The sequence below is a fragment of the Homo sapiens genome, chromosome 1, assembly GCF_000001405.40.
Source record: "Homo sapiens chromosome 1, GRCh38.p14 Primary Assembly".
NCBI lineage: Eukaryota > Metazoa > Chordata > Mammalia > Primates > Hominidae > Homo > Homo sapiens.
This window is the reverse complement of record NC_000001.11, coordinates 97,555,037-97,577,887: the sequence shown is the minus strand read 5'-3', so window position 1 is coordinate 97,577,887 and position 22,851 is coordinate 97,555,037. Positions and strand designations below refer to the sequence as shown.

The 22,851-nt window shown below is 35.0% G+C and overlaps 1 protein-coding gene across 6 annotated transcripts in view; it reads left to right on the top strand.

Annotated features, from left to right (window-relative positions):
- The window catches only part of DPYD (dihydropyrimidine dehydrogenase), an 843,317-nt gene that overhangs the window by 343,172 nt on the left and 477,294 nt on the right, over positions 1-22,851 (top strand). For all 6 annotated transcript variants that reach the window (XM_047448077.1, XM_017000507.2, XM_005270562.3 and 3 more), the window contains one exon: positions 3,918-4,128. In XM_047448077.1, coding sequence (XP_047304033.1) covers positions 3,918-4,128 — 211 coding nt within the window. The remainder of the gene's footprint in view (positions 1-3,917; positions 4,129-22,851) is intronic.

Below are 22,851 nucleotides of genomic sequence, written 5' to 3'. Positions count from 1 at the left end.
GGCAACTGGCAACAGAGCGAAACTCCGTCTCAAATTAATTAATTAATTAATTAAAATAAAATAAAAAATAACAAAAATAATAAGACAATACTTATAACAAGACAAATAATAGATTTGTTAAATAGTGAAAGTAAATCCTTATAATGTCCAAAAATATTTCAAAGTATATTTCACTTCACATGTAATGTCAATTTTAATTTAGGATCTTTAAGATGAGAGCATTCCTTCAATGATTGGGACAGGCTCAAGATGGAAATAAAGATTTTATTACTTACAGTTCCTGAAGGGGTACACATAATGCACAGAGGCCACACACACGGAGGTTAGGAGTGCATGGAGAGAGAGAAAGAGAAAGAGAGAAAATGGGACCTGCGGGCCAGTGCCTTTATTTATGGGTCCAGGGCGTTATCCAAACAGGTTTCTCGTGGGAAATTTTAACTGGTTGGTTTAAAGCAAGCAGGCACAAGTTCCAGGACGTCAAGCATTGACTGAGAGGCAGTCACTGTGGTGTGTCTGCACAGTCCATGCAGGGTGGAGGGTCAGCAGGACCAGTCCAGCAGGCTGCATCTACTCGTTTCATAGGGATGTGGTGATCAGGGAGCAGGTGTATAAGGGAAATATCTTGATCCACCACACTGAGAAACGGGGGTGCTGCAGGGAGGTAGAGTATAGAATTGGAAACTATGTGTGTCAAGGGTGACTGAATCTTTCTTCTGCTATAACAAAGTCCAGCTTATATTTAAAATAGATGCCAAGGCAGCATAAAATGATAAGCATTCACTATACAAGTTTACCCTGTGTTTTCATTGTCCTAGTATTTCCCTATTTCCCAAGATAAATCTTAACATGATCTCACTCTCCCAATATTAATACTTTCCAAACAAATATATATATGCAAATGATATTACTATTTTTTCTTTAAACAATTTTCCCTTTCTTATGTAAAATGGAAAATCTAGCTATCGAGCTAAATAGCAGAAGTGGTGTGATTTATGTCTGCTGCTTAATAGTCTAGTTCTACATGTACTAGTGAGTGAAGAAAATCTCCAAAGTTTCAAAAGCAAAAATGCAGATGAATCTCTGTGGGGTCCAGTGCTCATGCCATCCCCAGTGCACTGTCGGATAATTGGTAAGAATGCCAGATATTTGAATACATGTAATCAAACCTGGGGCACATAGATGAGCATATGCTAAAGCCAGTTTTTTTATGTTTGTAACTATATATGGTTATACAAGGTCCTCAAAAATCAAAACCATGGTGAGAACATTACTAAACATTACTAAAACATGCTTAGGCATTCAGTGATTAATAATCTTTATTTTAAATTCATAGAAGTTTTTGATTTAGTCATGTCCAATTTTTTGTTTCCAAATTTAATGCCAAATTTGCCAAAATATATAAGAGATTATCTATATGTAATAACAGATACTGTAGAGGTATTAATAGATAGCAAAGATAGAGTGGGATCAAACAGATCCTAAATCGATCTGTAAGACATATTCCCAATAGGTACAGCATAGTTCAGTGTTTCATTTCTGCCCTCCACAGAAAACAGTACTGTTACAGGTACACATTGTATATTGATTTATTCAAACCATAAACATTTGGAGTTGTTATTCAGTCAAGTGTGGCATTATCATTAAAATGTAGCACCACTTGACATTTTGAAACACAATAAACTGGTTTATATTGATGAGTTATAAGGTGATATGTGGCACAAATATGACAAAAGCGATACAGAAAACATATTTTACATATTGGAATCATATTTATTTTGTAATTTGAATTATTCAAGGAATAATTTGCCTTCCAGAAATCATACATTTTTATTTTGTAGAAAACTAAAGAGGAGTCTAAGGTTTGTCTTTGTGCTGCCTTTTACTAACCTTTGTTATTGGGCCACCTTTCTCTTGAAATCACAATCTTATTTCTAAGTGATATTGAATAGCTGAAGAATGATTCAGAGAAAAAAAAAGTGAATTCAGAAAATAGCAACTATGAGTACATAGCCTTCTATATGCTAAATTCTGCTTTAGGCATTTTACATTTTGGAGTTGTTTTAAGTAACACCACACATACCGATTAATGAGATGGTGTTCTCCCCATTTTATATATAAGGAAACTATCCCAAATAAGCAGCAGAGCAGTTTTCAAATTTGATTCAATTCCGCTTACCTCTAATCTTCCTGTCTGAGGAGTGAGCAGTTTTATATCAACTGTTTTGTATGTTTACCAGCATAACATCCCACATGTTTTGTTTTATATTGCTAATTTCTTGATTTTCATAATAAAAAGGGAAAGACTGTGTAATAATTTTTATGTGGTTCCAATTTTTAAGCCTTTAATGACAATATTAAAAATATCCTAAATAAGACATAGATTGAATAGCTTCAAAATAATGTATAGTATAGATCAGTGTTTCCCAACCATTTTCTTCTTACCCTTTTTGGGAGTATCTTTAGATTTTTTTCTTAATCCTCCCTGCTATGATTTTAATACCATAGATATACTGTATAACTGTTTACATACTTTAGCTCTTCTTGAAGGGACAAGACCATTATGATATCTGAGGATTTTTTTCTTTCCCCCAAGAATTAATTTTTGCTCCCTAGGGGCAATATTCCTGTCTTTGAAAATGCATCATAGAGAACAAGTGCTGAGCCAGTCAGCTATAATCTAATAAAGACAGTGGTTAACAAAGTATCATCTGTGCACTAGAAGCATAGCATCACCTTAGGCATTTGTTAGACATGCAAATCCTCAGTCCCCACTTAACCCTCCAAAGTTAGAAACTCTGAAAATGGGCCTGCGCAGTCTGGTTTAATTAGCCTTCCAGGTGATTGTGATGCATGGCACTAGCTCTGGATAGGTTGTTGAAAGATGGGCCCATGGCTTGATTACAGCATTGAGTTAATTATTTTATGTCTCAGTTTTTCCATCTTGACAAAGCTCAGATAACTCTTAGTTTGAAGCCTCATACACACAACCTCAGTGGAAACATTACCCAGGGAGCCTATTGAGAATCTACCTGGCTTTCAGAGTGAAGGAAAATAATAAGACAACATCCCAAAACACTTCAGTAGGACATTTTTGCATTTTTTAAAAAAAGAACATTCAACATAGTACTTCTGATTGCATTGACAAAGGCCTGGATTTCTCCAAAAACAATTAATGGAAAAATAAGCAAATGAGTAAACATTAATATTCTGTCTCAATGAACATTCCATTATGCATATGAAAACAAACAGAAACCGAGGTATCCAGATTTTATGGCAAAATGAATTACGTAGGAAATGGGGAAGAACTGGGCATTCATCAGGAGGACATGCTTGTTTCGCTGTCCTCAGTTTTTCATTTATAGTATTTGCTTCTGTGGTTTTATAAAGGGAAGAAAAAATGTTTTTTATTTCTTAGTTCTACAGAGTTTCTCTAGTCTTTTTCTCCTACCTACCATTCTAATCATGTACTTGCACAGATTGGCTCACCCACTTTATTGACTTTTTTCCAGCTTGGATGTATGCAACCTGGTAATAAACAGAAGTATTTATTTTAATATGCAGCATGATTAAAAAAAGAGACCTTAATCTACTGAATTGAAAACATAAAAATAATAGGCTACTATGGTCAGAAACCTCACAAACTACCAAATGTAGAGCATGCAGTACTTAAAACTTGAGAAATACCTTATGATGCCGTGATCTATAAACGTCCACATTACAACTCCAATTCAAGACTCCCTGAGTCAGTGATTTACAAAATGCAAATAACTGGTAACTGAAACTCAGGTTTGGTGAAAGAAAAAGCTGCATATTGACTTAATATCATAAGCTTTAGCATGTGTAATTCAATTAGAAATCAAATACTGTGTGGAATAAGAAACATTTTCAAGTTTCTTCTCTGTTCTGTTTTGTTTTAGATGGAACTTGCTAAGGAAGAAAAGTGTGAATTTCTGCCATTCCTGTCCCCACGGAAGGTTATAGTAAAAGGTGGGAGAATTGTTGCTATGCAGTTTGTTCGGACAGAGCAAGATGAAACTGGAAAATGGAATGAAGATGAAGATCAGATGGTCCATCTGAAAGCCGATGTGGTCATCAGTGCCTTTGGTTCAGTTCTGAGTGATCCTAAAGGTACAGTGCTGGGAGCTGAAATGTGTGATGCAATTGTCTGTTATTTTAGTGCTGTAATAGTTTCTAGCTTTCAGGGAATTGTTTTTCACTTTAAAATTTATTTTCCTCTTCTAGTTAAGAAGTAAAAGCAATCTTGATTCAAAAGGCTTAGAAATGTTATTTAATGCTTATATAGAATTATTTTTAAAGTGGCAAGTATTGAAAAGAACATTAATCTTTCTTTTAAGCTTATAACCAAAACACATATTCTACTCTATAATGATATTTGCCTTGTTTCTTATAGAAGAATGGCTTTTTCTTCAATTAGACTAGAGTAAGAAAATGAGGCAGAGTAGTTGGAACAGCCAGTCTTCAATGATTCAGACAAATCAAAATCTAATGAATGGCCAAAAATAGAATTTGTGTTTATTACCATCCTTGTGCCAGATCATCACTTCAGATGTCAGAATTATCAAATTAGAAAGTTTAAATGTCTGTCATTTTCACCTGGATGGCATAAATGAGCATGCTAAGAAAAACAAAATGTTTTTTAAAAAGATAATGAGAGAAAGAAATGTTTTATATAACATTTCAACTGAATAATGATTCAGTCAAGTAAGACTACTTTATGTTATACTTTTCCCACATACAGTGTTTCTGTGGGTCATTGTAGATGAAAGCTTATGTATCTAGGTACTTTCATTTTACAAATCCTTTTACCTTTTAATTCACATTATTGAAATGACAATTAACTCTTTTGTTTTCTGAAGGGAAAATAAAATATGTTTTTCTAGGTCAGAGATTCATTAAGAACAACCATACCAAAAATCTCTCTAAACCTGATGATTCCTATGACTTCCTACTATATCCATGCTAAAATTACATTTTTTGTCTGAAGTTGGAAGAGATATATACATGAAAATGTATATTTTTATGCCACAGATAAGTAAAGGATTCAACTAGTCATCAGATATTTTATCTGCAGGGCATCAAACATCTTGGTATGTGGAAACATCCAGATGTTTAATGTCATCGAGATAAATGTTTTCAAATAGCTGGATGATGGCCTAAATTTGTCACTTTTTATCTAGACATTTATGTGGTATGTAGACACAGTCAGAGTATAGTTTATTTATTTAACTGAATTCAGGAAGGAAAAAAGAATGATATATAAAGTGCTTATATTATCTTAAAAATCCCATTCTTCTTACTATTAAATACTATGTACATCACCAAAAATTGAGTAAAATGTTGAATCATGTTTAACTAGCAATTCTGTTGATTATTTGCCTATCCAAAAAGGTTAGCTTAACTATTTAAATTTGTGTTCCATAATTGACAATCCTAATATTAATAATAATTATATTTTCCTAAACAAACCTGAACAGATTTGGCTCAGAAAACAGCTTTTGCAATCTCAGATACGATTTTATAAGCTTGTGCTTGTGTGTGTGTGCGCGCAGGCATGTGTATTTGTGTATGTATGTATGAAGAATAAAAGATTTAAGTTAGCATATAAAATATGAAGAAGGAGAAAATTTGATCTATTCAAGTTTGACTAGGTCATTTCAGAATTTATGCATTTTATTCCAGAATTTACTGTGTATATTTCTTCTAGTACTTCACATATGCCACCTCTTATAAATTTAGAGAAGTCAAGGAAAAAAATGTTTCTTCGCTATTTTTTTTTCCTCTTCTGGTTTGAAATAATAAACTGCCTGTAGAAATTATCCTTAAGTAGAATTACTAACTTTACCAGGAGCCTTCCATGTTTACTTTAATAAGAAGTTATTCTCCAAGTGAGAGGGGAGCTGGCAGAGCTGCAGTGTGAGATAGCATTCATTCCTGGACTCCCATCTAAATGTTTTCAGTACTGTTCTTTTGGATGGAAAACATTAAATAAAGGAGTCACAGAAGCAGTGTTTGTTAGAATTTGATCAAGAAGATCTTACTCAATAGGATTTAAAATCTTAATAGTTTCAAAGTCAGAAAACTGTCATGTGCACACATATATGTAAAATAAAATGAAAAGCATTTTATTGGAAGCAAGATGTCCATTTGGGTAAGAAGAGAAGATATTCATGTTAATCCTCTTCTACCATAAATTCTTCCCCATCCTAACACTATGTCATGTCATTTCTGGATGGTACCTAGTGATTATCACATATGTGATACCTGTTTTAATGCATTCATCTTTTAAAATGTTTACTTCTCTTTCCACCCCTCCACTTTTCTCCTTTTCAACCTCACTTTGCCCAGACTTCAGTGAACTGCATGCCAAATGCAGTGACATCCTTTCAGTCCTTAGTATATTTTCTGCATTTTATGATTGATAATGTTAAGAATTCTGTTTAAAATGCTCTCCTCCAAGTCACTTAAACTTTCTGAGGCTCAATTTCTTTATCTACTAAAAAAAAGCGTAGTAATACATTATCTTTCTACCTCTCAGGACTATTGTCAGAATTAAAATGAAATAATGTAAAAGACTTGGAAACAAAACTAGAGCATATTCTTGTTTGTGACACTCTATTACCTTGCTGCTTCTTTTAACTATTCCTTTCCAAGCCTATCACTGACTGCTTTTCTTCCTCTAGCTTTTTACTTTCCAAAGTTCAGAATTTGTTCATTTTCTCTCCTTATCGTATTTATTTCTTCAGTGAAATGAATGTCTTGTTCATTCTTTCATTTATCCATTCATACGTGCATTCATTCCTCAAGACATATAAATGAACTTCTCTGTGCCAGACAGTGGCTAGACTTACAGTAGGCACTATTTCCTTTTTGTGTAAAAATGACTCTTAAATCTAGTTTTCCACTCCCCATTTCGCAGAAGACCTCCTTTCATCCTAAATTTTTGCTCAGGCATGTGACAAACATTTACTGAGTACCTAATGAATGCCAGGTGCCAAATTATATTCTAGAGAGTATGAAAATGAGCGAGTCATTGCATGGGCTTTAAAATTCCATAGACTAGGGTGGAGGCAGATCTGTAATCAATTAATTTTATTACAAAGTGAGGAATGTGTACATTAAGAGAGATTTGCACAAAGTAAAAAAAAAAAAGTTCACCTTATCAGATTTACCTAAAACAGATCTTTTCTCAAATTCACTATTATTGCAAATGGTACCATTAGTACTCCCCATAGCCAAAGTTCAAAATTTTACCCCAGTTCAAATTTCTAATTATAATATTTATTAAATGTACCAATGTTATCTTATACTATGGTATAAAGCTTCCACTTCTCAACACTTGAGAACATCAGCAAATGGCCTTATATACATTCTGTGTATCCACCTATATTTTCTTCTGTTCCCTGTTGAATTATTCCTGCCAGCATCCAGCACAGGGAACATTCCATAGTGGCAACACAGAAAATCTTTGGTAAATGCATTACATAAAGACATACTGAAAAATTCAAGTAATGAAGTAAACTTGACAGAGTACATATAAAGTACAGTGATAAATTACACTCTCAGAAGTCTCTGGTTGCAATAATATTGTAAATGAAAATACTTTTAAAATCTCAAATATATCAATAATAAGAACTTGAAAAGCTAAGCTAATTGGAAAATTGAAAGGAGATTACATTTTTAATGTCAGTTTTTTCTGAAATATTCCACAATCTTTGTAAGTTTCTAAATTTGTTTCACAATGGAGAATGTAAAATAACTTTTTTAGTGTTATACACCTAATATATCTGTAATAAATATTCCCTATCATAAAATGATAAGTGCCTCAACAGCTTATAGAAAAGATAAGTATATCATTTATAAAATAAACTTGGATAAGAGTTTGGGATTATAGTTGCTAATTATTTCGTTGCCACTAAGGATAATAAGAGTGATAAGTAATCATCATTACTTTACATAATTCTGTTTCTTCCATCACTTTTTGGATTGTACCAGGGAGTGGGAAGTAGGAACAAAAGACTACATATTCCATATCCATGTGCATGGAATATGTTATGTGCCGATCAGCATAATTTAATTGAATACTTCATTAAACACTAGCTCAAATTTTAAAGGCAATGGTGTCCAATTTCTGACTCAATTGATATAACGTCAGCCTTAAATATCTTTCTTGTGAAAAACTCAAAATGGTTCTACTTTTAAAAAGTCTCCTCTATTCCCTCTAAGAATGTACGACTCCATATCACGTCACATTAACTTGGGATTTTGTTGTTCTAGATAGACTGTAAAGGCTATCAGGAGATTAAGCACAAACTTTCTGTAACTGCATTTCTGCTTTACAAATATTGTCCATTCACTGGAAAGTTCTAAACGTTTATTTAAAATATGTATATGTATATTTTATTATACATATATGTATAATATAAATATAATATAAATATATGAATATATATTTCTATATATGATATAAATATATATATTTCCTAATATAGGATGTTTCCTCTTCTGCTAAACACTATTTTCAATATTTATTGAATTGAATTGTGTTTCTTCTTGTTTGTTGGTACAGTGTCAGGTTTAATCGATTTATTGTTTGTTTTATAGTGTATCTCTCCTTCTCTTTCTTGTTGGAACCAAACTGGCAGTTGTTAAGTGGGCCCAAATTTCTGTTAGTTTTGCATTAGTAAGAATTCTTCCACCCTTTCACTAATCTCACTGCTTCATTTTTACAACCAAGGCAATAAGGTTGCCTGTGTCCTCACATTCCTAGGAGATCTGGATGACATAATTTTATGATTTGTTGAATATGCTTTCAGACAACTGAATGAATGTACTTTAGCTCATTCTGTGATTCTGTGCCTCCTCCATACCCTGTACCACAACCACTCTTTCATTATATGAAATTTTGACTCTGTAAAGATTTATGTTCTGTGATCTTCCGGAATCTATTTTATTTTCAAATTATCCTATAAACCCCAAGGAGAGCAAGGAGTGCACCTTTATACTAAATTGTAGTCCCAATAGCAACTGACATATTAGTGTGCCCATAATAGATCCACAAAAATATTTGTGCATTTGACTTGACTTGCTTCATGTTAGGGTATTAATTTTCTTATGAGTTACTATTTTCTCCTATGATGGGATCTGCTTGGTTTATTTTTCTTCGAAAATGTAAAAGTTAGAAAAATAATTCTATTATTCTATTGCTCTGAATTTTTCCTTTGTTGTGGCATAAATTGTTGTATTCTTCATAATACAATAAATATTACACTAATTAGAGTCTATCTGGTATATTGGCTGAGAGTGGGGTCTCTGGAGCCAGGCTGCCCCAGCTGGAAACCTGGCTGTCCTCCTTCTAACTTCATCGTCTTAATGAGTTACTTAGTCTACCTGTTCTTCATGGTCCTCATGCTGTAAGGGGGATGACTATAGTATGAATATCCTAGAGTTATTTAGAAGAAATGAATTAATAATATATGTAAATCATTTACATATAGGCGTAGCATATAGTAAGCTTAAGTTACAGATGTTATTATTAATCTGTAACAAAACCATATTTTAGTAATTAAATTGATTTATATTAACTTTTATGTAGCTATTCATGTTGTTTGGGAATAAAGTCATTTGAATATCAATACTTCATCAGGAACTTTGGAGGCTCTGTCAACATGACTTTGTAAATAAGTGAAGCAGATGCTCATACATTCATGATTTTTTTAATGAGAAATTGTTCAATATATTTGGTTAGTTTTTTTCCTGAAAAAAAGATTGAACAGTCTGTAACTGTATTATATATTTTTAAACTATTATCAATTCTAATGTTTTTCATGCCATCGAAAACAATTTTTCAACTATTTTTAGTTGTTAGAAATCTCCATTTTGCCAAATTTTCTTGATCCAGATGCAGCGCACCAACATGGCACGTGTATACATACGTAACAAACCTACACGTTGTGCATATGTACCCTAAAACTTAAAGTATAATAAAAAAAAAAGAAATCTCCATTTTGAATTTCTGCAAATGAGGTATGTAAAAAGCACATATTTTTAAATGACTTTTGTTCTTCCTCTTAGAAATGGTGAAAATTGGACCACATTTTTTTGTTTAGTGTAAGGATCATTCATTTGTATTTTAAGACAAGAAAGGCACTTTTGAATTTTCAACTAAGTTTGAGATTTTAAATGCTTGAAAATTATGGGATTACATAACTAAGATTAAAAACCCATGTTTTGGGAAGGAAGATGTTAGGATGAATGGTGAGGGACTCAGCATCATGTTGCACCACACTGCTCAGTAGAGCGGAGACAAGGTGACTGAGCTCAGGGCACAGCCAGGGAAGATACGACCCTTCTGTTAGGAAAGGAATTTACGTACTTCACCCACTGCTTACATTTTCTTTCTGCTCACTCACTGGGAACTAGAGATAACAAGGAAACACAAAACCTAGATAGTTCTGAATCTTAAATGCAACTCTCAGAAATCAGCTCCCTTGATAACATTGATTGCAGTTAGTTCCATAAGGGAGTGTTTGCAGGAAAAAAAAAAAGGTTTTTAAATCACTCATCAGTTCCTCTTATTAGAAGGCCCTCAGAAAAGTTTTTGAAAGCCTCATGGGGTAAATCAAACATTCTGTCAATAGCAGCTTTGAGTGTAGCTTTGATTCACTTGCCCCCATACTGAGAAAAGGTGCAGGCCATGGGTTAATTTGCCTTGTTCTGGCCTAACTCAGAACTAGAAATTGCCAGTTAGGCAAGAAATGGCCTGCTAAGATTCTTACGATGCAAAAATTCAAGAATTTTTCAAATGTGTCCATTTTTCTTTTCTCAATTGTTTAAGTGTTGGGAAGAGCCTATGAAAAATGTTTTAATGTTGGCATTATATTATTTAGGTATTCAAAAATGGTAGTTAGCTATGTTTTAAAAGACCTGGAATCAGTATGTTTGATTTGATTTACTCCTTATTAAAATGTAACTTATTTGGTAATTTATAATGAAATTGAGAATGCTAGAACATTTTAATAAACCACAGTTTTTGGTTAACATCATGTTCTATTTTTCAAACAACAAAACATATCTTATAGAAGCTACTGGTGGCAAAATTTTCTTTGAACAACTAACCACTCTTTATGACCTTCAGCTTACGTAATTTCTCATATCAAAAATAAAGGGGAAGGGGGAAAAATTGAATACTAATTTGAGAAACTATCATAATTCATCAAATTTTCACTGTTGCATGCATTTTAATAAACAAATATTTACAATGAAGTTTCAAAGAACAGATTAAAGAATACTGCATTATATTGCTAATTAGGATACCTTTTTGACTAATGGCAAAACATTAGAGGAAGGGACTTATTAAGGATTAATATAAGTAAGAATGAATGACATTCTTACCTAACATTAAGAACTAAAGTAATCAGTCCGGTATAATACACTGGATACAATACAATAACTTGCATTAGGATTTTCCTTATTTATATTTCTGAATGTGCTAGAAGGACCTTAGAGATCATATATTCTAATCCCCTCACTTCACAGGTTTTTAAATAACGTATGGTGGCTAGTGCAGACTCTTTTTAAAGATACGTTTCAGGGATAAAGTAGTGAAAAGAGAAATGCAAACTTTGCCTCCAAGAATGCACATTTTAACAGGGGAGGCTCAGAATTACAATAAATTGTACTTTGAGAAGTTTAGATTCCCGAGGAAGCACAGAACAGAGTCTAAGCATTCAGGGAAGCTTCCTAGAGGAAGTGGGTTGTAAATTGAAGTCTGAGTGATGTGTAGGAGTTTCCAGGTGGAACGGGGGTGGAAGGGAGGGAAGCCACAGGGAGATTATGCAATTTGCTCAACACCGCACTGTTAGATTAAATAGTCATTTTACAGTCATTTTAAAAAGCTGTAAAAAATATATGTCTTTAGAAAGTTGTCATCAGCCTACTTACTTCATGCATGTTCTCATCTTCGTAAATGATGGTCTGAATTTTTCATTTGTATTTCTAAATAGAACTTTTTATTTTATGATTTCTACTATTCATTCTCTCATTATTCACCATGCAATGAACATTTCTTGATGCACAACTGTGTTCCAGGCACTACTCAGGCACTAGGAATACAGACACAAGTAAAAGAGTCATTGCCCTTCAGGGACCTATAGGCTAATGAGAGAAATAGACATGTAAATACATATATAGCAACACAGTGTGCTAATTTGAGATCACATTTGGAATGGGTTTTAGAGCTTGAGTAGGAGTTTTCCTGTTACAGAGAACATCATATACAAAAGTATGGGCCGACAAAATGACCTCATATGCCCAGACAACGGGGAGGCATTCTGTTTTGCTGGACCAGATGGTGTGTGGTTACATAAGGGTAGGGAGCAGGTAGGGATAAGATGGCAGGAAATATGGCTAAAATATATGTGGAGTCAAAGGATTATATGCTAAAGTAGGGATTTTGAATTTTATGCTGTAGACATGCAGGTGACAAATGAGGAGGTTTAAATAAGGAAGAGCTCTTTGTCTTGAATGAGGTAATTCTAGCAGGTGTTAGAGCTTCCTTCTCTCTGCTTGGATTGTGCACCATTTGTAATAATCTTCAAATAGTTGGGGGTTAGAAAATAAGCAACCACATTTTGAGATGGTTCATGTTAGTAGGCAAATGCATTTTCTAACATTTGGTGACCTGAATTAGGTGGTTATTCAGTCACAGGGTATGATCCCACACAGTAAATGCCGTTATGAGAAGCTGACCCAGTAACATTTTCAGTATCAGGGGCGACTGAGAACCTATGCTCAGATGGGCAGCTCTCAAGTTATAGGTTTGACCAGGGTGGATTATATATGCCTTATTTCTTCTTCCAGATTCACTAATTTGGATTCTATTTTAGTGTTTTGGAGAGAGGCGAGAAAGGTACAATGCGACACCCTGACTGTTATACAAATGATTGTTTCTTTACATGGAAGGCAACATCAGGAGTGTGGAACTACAGTGTCAGTAATTTTGGGAAAGATGGCCTGGAATTAAGAAAGACAAGTTAAAGGATTAAAATAATTTTTTCAGTAGTTACCGTGACTAAGTTAGAGGAAGTGGAAATACAGGAGAAAATTTGGAATCAAGATATATTTCTTAAGTAGAATAGTCAGGATTTGGTTATCTGCTTGATAAAGAGATTGGATGTGGGGTAGCTAGCTGGGAGGTAAACAGGTGTTTATAGTGCTGACAGAACTCACAGATAGAAGAGATCTGAGTGAAATGGTGGTGTGTTGAATTTGGATTTGCTATTGAACAACTGAAGCAGGGGACTAGAACTAAGGAAACAGAGAATGACTGAAAACAGACATTGGGAATTAGTACACATCATCTTCCTGTCTTTTCACTACTATACCTTAATGCCTACAGCAGGAGCTGTTCATTGATTTAATTAATTAATGAAAGGTGTTGTAGCCTATCATTTAAATAACAGCTTCTTAAGAGTGTGATTAAAGAGTATATGTGGCATTGATTCTGGAAATCCAGAAGCCTGTCATATTCCATAATATGAAGAGAAAAAAGGTCAGCTTTTGTTACTGTTGATTTCCTGATGGTAAATATTTTAAGGAGGTTATGACATGAAGGGACAGTTTTATTCCATGGTACTCTCTCTACCACCTGTTCGCTTTTTAATAACACACATGATTCCTCATGTGCTGCCATGTTGTTTTAAAATGCCTGAATAATAACATTGATAGATCCTGTGTACCGATTGCGAAATGATGAAAATGAACTATTTTTGCCTTCTTTGTACAGTGCTTTGCCTTTAATTATATTTTGGGCAAGAAGAATTTTCAGGAACCTAACTGAAACACTGTACATGTTTCAAAAATTGTTCTGATTATCAGAAGTATTTTTGCTTGGTTGAAAGATTTATCATCTTTCTATTACGAAATATGTTGTGCAGGGTGAGGATGAAGTGGTGGAATCTAGTGTAAGTACTGGCATTTCTGCAGAATAACTATCCAAACTAATGGAATCCTTGCACAGGTTTTCTTTGGAATTATTTTGAAAGGGTGGAGGTGATGAGGATGGAGGTCAAACTGATAACAGTGTTGAAAGTGATTGGGAATCAACACCACATCACTTACATCTGCCTTAGATATCCATTTGAAGCACAACATGATATTTCTGTAATTATTTTACTTCCCTCTAATAACTGCATAGGAATAGGTTTGTTTCCCCAGTGAATAGCTCTGCTCAGAGCCTTTCCTTATCTTTATTTTCCAGGTTTCACTACTGGTTGATATCATATGCATTCTTACAGGGAGACAGTGGATAAATCAGTAGTTTTCCATCAAATTGAAGATTACATACAAGAAGTAGAGCAGTGGCATGTAACAAGTTTTGTTAGGGAAAGAAGGTAGAAAATGGGAAAAAATAACGTAATTGTTTCAGAGAACAGAAATCATAAAACATAGCCAATGGTTTTGAACACACAGTGAGTGTAATAGATGTATTTAATGTAATAGATACGGTGAGTGTAATAGATAAACTGAGCTTTATTGACCACAGCCTATAATATTTTTATTTTAAAAACTAGTTAGCTTATAGTATAGTAAAAGGTTATTCTGAAACCTAACATGCTGGTGAAATGTTAAACTAAAACTAAGCCGCTGTGAGATGTAAAATCAAGATGTAAGATTTAATTAAACTATAAAATGATAATATAGAGTATAGTAAGGTTCTTAATTATATGTATTTTGTATTGCAGAGTGAGATTATTATTGTTAATTACTTTGTGTTTCTGTTCTTGACTCAAAGCACAATATAAATAGGACAACATCCCTATCTAAAATACTCTGGTTAAATTAGATATTTGGCCGGGCATGGTGGCTCACGCCTGTAATCCCAGCACTTTGGGCGGCTGAGGCAGGTGGATCACTTGAGGTCAGGAGTTTGAGACCAGCTGGCCAACATGGTGAAACCCTGTCTCTACTGAAAAAACAAAAATTAGCCAGGTGTAATGGCGCACACCTGTAATCCCAGCTACTCGGGGGGGCTGAGGCAGGAGAATCACTTGAACCCAGGAGGCAGAGGTTGCAGCGAGCCAAGATCATGCCACTGCACTCTGGCCTGGGCAACAGAGTGAGACTCCATCTCAAAAAAATAAGACATTGATCTGCATATATGCTATTGTATAAATTAGAAAATTACATTAAATCTTATTCAATATCTACTCCCAAAATATGGAAGCTACTCAATTCAAATGTAATATACTGCCATTGTTGGAGGAGGAAACCAGTATTAATGTTAACATCCATTTGGGGATCCTGCCTAACAGTATGTGGATTAATGCTAACCAGTGCTAATCTTTTTTTCCTCTTTAACAACCATACTTGTTATATTTTGTAATTCTAAAGCTCTTTAAAGTGTTTTCAAGACTTACCTGACCATTTTTTCCATACAAGTATGTGAAAGAATGGCAAGCATGTTGCATAGTAAGTGTTTGCCAAATATCCAGTGATTTTCCAAGCCCTCCTCAAAGTGTATTTACAATTCATTTGGTTTAACATGACCCAGTGTTTCTCCCTGTATTTGCATACTGATGCCAAATGAACTTTACATCACCAGTCTCATCACATTACTCTCATACTTTGGAATCTAAAACTATTCTTCCCTGATGGTGGGATTAAAACCAAATGCTTCAATTTAATTTTGACATCCTACTAATCTGCCCTCCTACATACTTGTGGGATGTTACTTCCCATTCTTTCATTCTGTATTTATTATATGTGTTTTGTATTAATTATACAAGATTCTTTTAGGTTCTCTAAAGTTCACAAAAATGAATACATTGTCCCCATCTGCAGGAGCTTGCAGTCTAATAAAGGAGGAAAGATGCATGCAAATAAAGTTACCTTTAGGTAGAAAGTGACTCAGGAGAAACAGATAAATTTCTGGTGTAACATACAGGGTAGAGAGATGACTTGCAGCAGCAAGAATTAAAAGGTTTTGTGGAGGCAGTGACATTTATAATAGTTGAGGATTGGGTAGGAATTAGGAGAACAGAGACAGGGATTGAAAGCCCATTCCAGTTATAGTAAACAGGCTGGATGAATACATGGGGGAGTTTCTTCGTCTAGATTATAAGGTATATGCGAAATAATAGAGTAAGGGTGGAAAAACATATCATTGCTAATTCATGAAATGTTTTTAGTGTTTAACTATGTGAATTTTATTCCAGAATTGTGGTACTGGAAATCTAAAGAGGCACGTAGATTAAATATGTTTGCTACACACATATAGGGACCATGTAGTTAAATATGCTTCTCCTTTTTGATTCTTGCTCTTCTATTTCACTCTGTATATCTTACATATTCTGAAGTATATTGACAGTACCACTGCAGGGTACTTTATTTATATTTTAACCCAAAGATCCAGCACAGTCCTTAACTCAATAAATATTCACCAAATGGATGAATGAGTGAAGAGATGAATAAATGGTTGAATGAAAAGAATGAAGTGACTTATTCTAAATGTCTGTACTGAAAATTAACAGTAAGGGCAAAATCATGTGAAAGTGTTGTATTTGTGAGGTGTCATGAAGGCCAGCCAGCCCTCCTTCTGTTCAGGGAATGGTCAGACGCTGGATGCTTTCTCTTTGCATTGAGAATGGTTTCCTAAGACTGGTCATCCTGCTTCTACTCTCACTTCCATATAATCCTACCAGAATGAGCTTCTAAACAGAGATTATTTAATTTCTTTTTTGTTGTTGTTCTAAATCTACAAATGCTGTCCTATTTTATTGTAACAAACTTCTTACTACAGTTTCTAACACACTCCTTGGTTTGGCCCCTGCCTATTTCTCAGACTTCCTCTCTTGTCTCACTTGCTTTCCTTCACCCACATAAAACCTTCCTTCTACTCCTCACGTGCTATAACTGCATCTCATCCTTAACACCCTTGCCACTGTTCCCGCTTCTTGGAATAATCTGCCTCTAAGTCATCACGTGACTGGTTCATTCTTATCCTTTATGTTTTAGCTCTGATGGCATCTCATCAAAGAGGCGCTCTCTGACCCTCCATAATTGCTATGATCTAAAGCACCCCTTCTGCTTCTCACATCCCTCATCTTGTACTAGTCTCTTTCATGTAACCCTATTCATAACCATTTTCACTATCATATAGTTCACTTACTTATTTACTTTTCATTTTTTATCTTCTGCCAGATGAAATTTACAACACACAAGGATGGGTCTCTTATCTGTGGTTTACTACGGTGCCTGCAGCAGGATGTAATACATGAGAGACCAAAAACAATTTTTTTTTTTTTTTTTTGCTAATTGAATGAATGAAGGCAAGGTAATGCCTTGCTTTTTTTCCTATTAAAAATTATGAAACACCTGGGAAGAATAGCTTGTGTACACTGTCTTATGTCTTTGCCAGATACTTTGTCCATAACTTCAGAATTCTGTTTTTTGCCTTTACTATTTAACTGCAAGTGTCACCTTTTTACGGTTCATTGACCTCCACGTCATCAATCTATTTACCTACATTATATTTCTTTTGTATTTAATACTTGTTGAATTTACCTCTTTACTTGGCTTTTGTGGCTTAGAAATATTTTGATTCTCACGTAACTCTGAGGAATTATTCTCTAGCTTTAGTTCAGGTTATGCTTGCTGACACTTTAAAAATAAGTGGATGATTCTATTGTCACCTGTTTTTGCACTCTTTCTTTGGAAACTTTACCCAGCCTTGTGATTTATTTGATCCCAAGTTGCAGTGCCTTCATCTGAGGTCTAGGTGTGTATCTCCAAATGCTTCTGTGGATTTTTCAGGCATTTTCCAACTACATATGTAGTTAATTTCTAGTGAGGTTTAAATCCTAAGGGTGTGACCTTGGTAACTTATCTCAATCTCACATTCCTCAACTATAAAATTGAGTTATACCTATTTTGTGAGGATCCAAAGAGATAGTATATACAGTGCCTAGCCTAGAGCCAGCTACATGCTGATGAAAGCGCTCAATAAATGTTTTCCATTATTATAGTTTTATCCCCATTAGATATAGCCTTTGCCAATGTTGATATTTTTTGAGTGCATGATAATACAGCTAGTTCTCTATATAAAGAAACTATACTTTTGAATTGCACATTTACTTATGTACTAAAATTGTTTAAACAAAATTCTACTGTGTGTTTTAAGTTTGCATTGAAGTGTGCCTACTGACGATTGACAAGGAAAAAAAAAAGCCGTAAGATGGATATCAAAAAATAACATTAATGAGCTGCTAAAGCTAAAATTACAGGAACTTATGAAATTGGTTAAACATAAAAACCATTAAACTGTTTACTGAAGCTTCACAGATATACTGCAGCTAATGAGCATTTCTGCTATTTAAATAAGCCCAAATTGAACACACATTACATGGATACATAATTAGTCATGGCAGTCAGACACACATAGACTTACTTTTAAAGCTCTATTTAGGGAATCTTTTCCATTTGATTTATTTTGTTAATTAAAATATTTTTCAGTGTTCACTTATATTTTAATAATATTGTTTTCACAAGTAGTATAATTTACTACTGGTTTCCTATTTGTTTTTATTTTTCCGTTAAATGCAGCAAATGGGAATTTTATATGAAACATTTTTCTTAACCCCTTTCAGTAATTGTTTATATCATTTGATGACATAATTGAGCATTTAAAAAATTTTGTTTGCTGAGAAGTATACAAAAAATATTTCAATACGCTATTTTTTCACTATCTCATAATTATCAAGAAATATTAAGCACCCAAATGTGCATAGAATTATAATGATTATGGTCCAAACCAGATTAAAGGATGATCTATTCCTTCAAGCAGTTTGCAGTCTTAAAGAGATGGTATCATTGAATATAAATAAGCAAATCAAAGTACAGCATTTGGGAATCCAACAGAGAATTTGAAAACAATTCCCATATATTTACTTCAAGGACACTGACCTCCTGGAGGAGATCTCTTCCAGGTAAAATGAAATCCAATGTTCAAGGAGTTCAGCGTCTTAAATAGATAGAATTATTTCAGAGACATAAGCAGATCAAGGTGAAGTGCTTGGACTATTTTAATTCTGAATTGGTTTGTTGGTCAGTTTAGGAAGTGGAAATGAAACTTCCAATAGAATACAAATAACACAAAAGGAGTTGCTATAGGCTATTATTGACATCCATCGTTTCCATTCAACTTGGGGAGCCTAAGTTTATCCTGAATAGGGTGAGGGAGAAGATCAGATCTGTATTTTACCCTGACTGAATTCTACTAGCATATTCAAACTGAAAATTATCTAACCATAGCAGTAGGAAAATCAGATATTTAAATTGATCAAAAGAAATTCACTATGTGCCCATTCTTCCCTAGTCAGTATGTTTGTCAGTGTAGAAATACTTTTTCTCCACATGATGAACTGACTAATTGTGAAAATAAGATCTACAAGAAAAATAACTAAGACAGAATAATATGAATGCTAAATAAATGGAATGGACAAATACTACATTTTTTGACCAAAAAACATATACTAGATTCCCCTTATATGCCAATTATATGCTAGATGCTGGGGGGAAGTAGCTGACTTAAATAAGTTATCTGAACTTAGGAGTAGTAGAGGTAAAACAAATACTTGAAATAAAGTCACATAGTGCCTAGCGTAACAGAAAGTCGTTAGTGGTTAATTCACTAGAAAGGGGGGGAAAAAGGTTTCATTGGAAAGGATGCTCTCAAGGCTGAATCTGTGAAGCTAGCCAAGACTAGAATTCTTTGCTGTTCCTGTCTTCACTTTAGTTATTCCCATGATCCCCAATGCTGAATTTTATGAGACTGTGGAGAGTCTATTTATTCTGGCTTTCTCTTGCCCCCACACCCAAAGTCAGAAGCAGCAGGACTTTGGAGATGAAATAATTGGATTCAAATACTGCCTCTGCCACCTCTTGGCTTTATTGAGGATGATAATATCCACCTTCAAGGGTTCTTTTGTGATCTAATAAGATATTCTATGGAAATATCCAGCAGTATGCCTGCCATGTACTAGAGATCCATAAGTGCTGATTGATTATTTTTTCTAACATTCTTCTTTAGTTGACAGTGATGTTAATGGAATGTAAGAAGTAACTAGGATAAAATTTTCATTGGATGGATTGGCACAACATGTTAACTGACTGGATGTTGATATATTTGGAAACAAGATTCATGGATTATACTAAGATTTGTAAGCTCTATTTTTAGTTTTGAAGAAGGGAATGGGACCAGATGCGATGGCTCATGCCTGTAATTCCAGCACTTTGGGAGGCCGAGGCTGGTAAATCACTTGAGGTCAGGAGTTTGAGACCAGCCTGGCCAACCTGCTGAAACCCCATCCCTACTAAAAATACAAAAATTAGCTGTGCGTGGTGACAAGCGCCTGTAATCCCAGCTACTTGGGAGGCTGAAGCACGAGAATCACTTGATCACTTGAACCTAGTAGGTGGAGGTTACAGTGAGCGGAGGTCATGCCACTGCACTCCAGACTGGGCGGCAGAGTGAGACTCCTCAAAAAAAAAAAAAAAAAAAAGAAAAGAAAAAGGGAATAGAAAATTTTCGCAACCTACTCATCTGACAAAGGGCTAATATCCAGAATCTACAATGAACTCAAACAAATTTACAAGAAAAAAACAAACAGCCCCATCAAAAAGTGGGCGAAGGACATGAACAGACACTTCTCAAAAGAAGACATTTATGCAGCCAAAAAACACATGAAAAAATGCTCATCATCACTGGCCATCAGAGAAATGCAAATCAAAACCACAATGAGATACCACCTCACACCAGTTAGAATGGCAATCATTAAAAAGTCAGGAAACAACAGGTGCTGGAGAGGATGTGGAGAAATAGGAACACTTTTACACTGTTGGTGGGACTGTAAACTAGTTCAACCATTGTGGAAGTCAGTGTGGCAATTCCTCAGGGATCTAGAACTGGAAATACCATTTGACCCAGCCATCCCATTACTGGGTATATACCCAAAGGACTATAAATCATGCTGCTATAAAGACACATGCACATGTATGTTTATTGCGACATTATTCACAATAGCAAAGACTTGGAACCAACCCAAATGTCCAACAATGATAGACTGGATTAAGAAAATGTGGCACATATACACCATGGAATACTATGCAGCCATAAAAAATGATGAGTTCATGTCTTTTGTAGGGACATGGATGAAATTGGAAATCATCATTCTCAGTAAACTATCGCAAGAACAAAAAACCAAACACCACATATTCTCACTCATAGGTGGGAATTGAACAATGAGATCACATGGACACAGGAAGGGGAATATCACACTCTGGGGACTGTTGTGGGGTGGGGGGAGGGGGGAGGGATAGCATTGGGAGATATACCTAATGCTAGATGACGAGTTAGTGGGTGCAGCACACCAGCATGGCACATGTATACATATGTAACTAACCTGCACAATGTGCACATGTACCCTAAAACTTAAAGTATAATAAAAAAAAGAAAAAAATCATAATAAAATAAAATAAAAAAAAAGGGAATAGAAAAAAGCAGCAATGACTATTAAAAATGCATCATGAGGACAGGTGGAAAGCAGAAAGTATGATGTCACAGAAGCCAGGCTAAAAGACTTTCATGAGGAGGAAGTGGTTATCTGTTGAATTTTGCTGAGAAATCAAGGAGCACAACAAGGGGGAGGCACCTTAGGTGCCTGTCCAACAACTTTGCCTTTGCATGACCCTGAGAGTAAGGACCTCCTTAAATTTTGTTCTTTGTCTGCCTCACTCACCTCACCCTATTTCAGGCTCTGAAGCAAGATGATCACTGAGAAGAATCACTGGACTTGGCGACCTGGAACCAATTAATCATATCAGTGAAAAGAGGTTTAGTGAAGCTTTGGAGTCAAATGCAGATGTGGAATGGTTTTAAATTGGGAGGTACTACTGTACATGTATGTACCTACATATGGGAAACCTCTAATTTGTAGAGAGTGGCTGGTAATAGAGAAGAGAGTGGATATAGTGTCAGGGGCAAAATTCCTACCAGGTCAGAGGAGAGGATTCTTGGGCCCATGTGGAGAGAATGGCTTCTGATAGTAGGGAGAGTTCCTTAGTGGTATTAAAAAGGAAGAGAGAGAGAGCGAAGGTATAGATCCAGTAGGTTTGTAGTTTTGCTGATGGGAAGAAAAGAGAGTTCCCATGTGATGGCTTTTATATTCTCTGTGAATTGTGGGACAAGGCCTTCTCCTGACAGTGGGGGCAAGAGAAAGGAGTCAAGTCTATAGAAGTTTTGAGGAGTGAAGCAAAGGTAAGACGTGTTCACAATGAGTGGAGGAAATGAAAGAGTAAGGTCACCAATAATAAATCATGAGGTGGGAAGGCCCAGGGGAAGCTTGTGAACTGAGTTTTGGATGTGATGATTTGGAAGGGACATTAGAGCATACAGGTTATAATCTTAAACAGGCATCCAGAAGTTCCAGAATAAAAGGAAGAACTCAAGGGAGAGTTCGAGGCCATCTTTATAGAGATGAAATTGAAGGCCCTAAATGACTATGATTTCTGACAGAGAAAGTGCAGTGGACTGAATATTTGAGAGCTGAGAAGAGGAAAATGAAGAGGTGAAGAGGGGCTAGAGCCCAAGAAGGACAGTTTAAAGATAAGCAGAGCCAGGGTAGAGGAGCATTCTGCAAATCAAAAAAGATCAAAATTAATGCCATTCAACTGTTGGATGCTACAGAAAGGCAAAAGAGCTGAAGACTAAGGTCACAGAATTTGGTGACCGTGGAGACCATACTTTCATTCAAGGAATAATTTGGTGGTGAGACA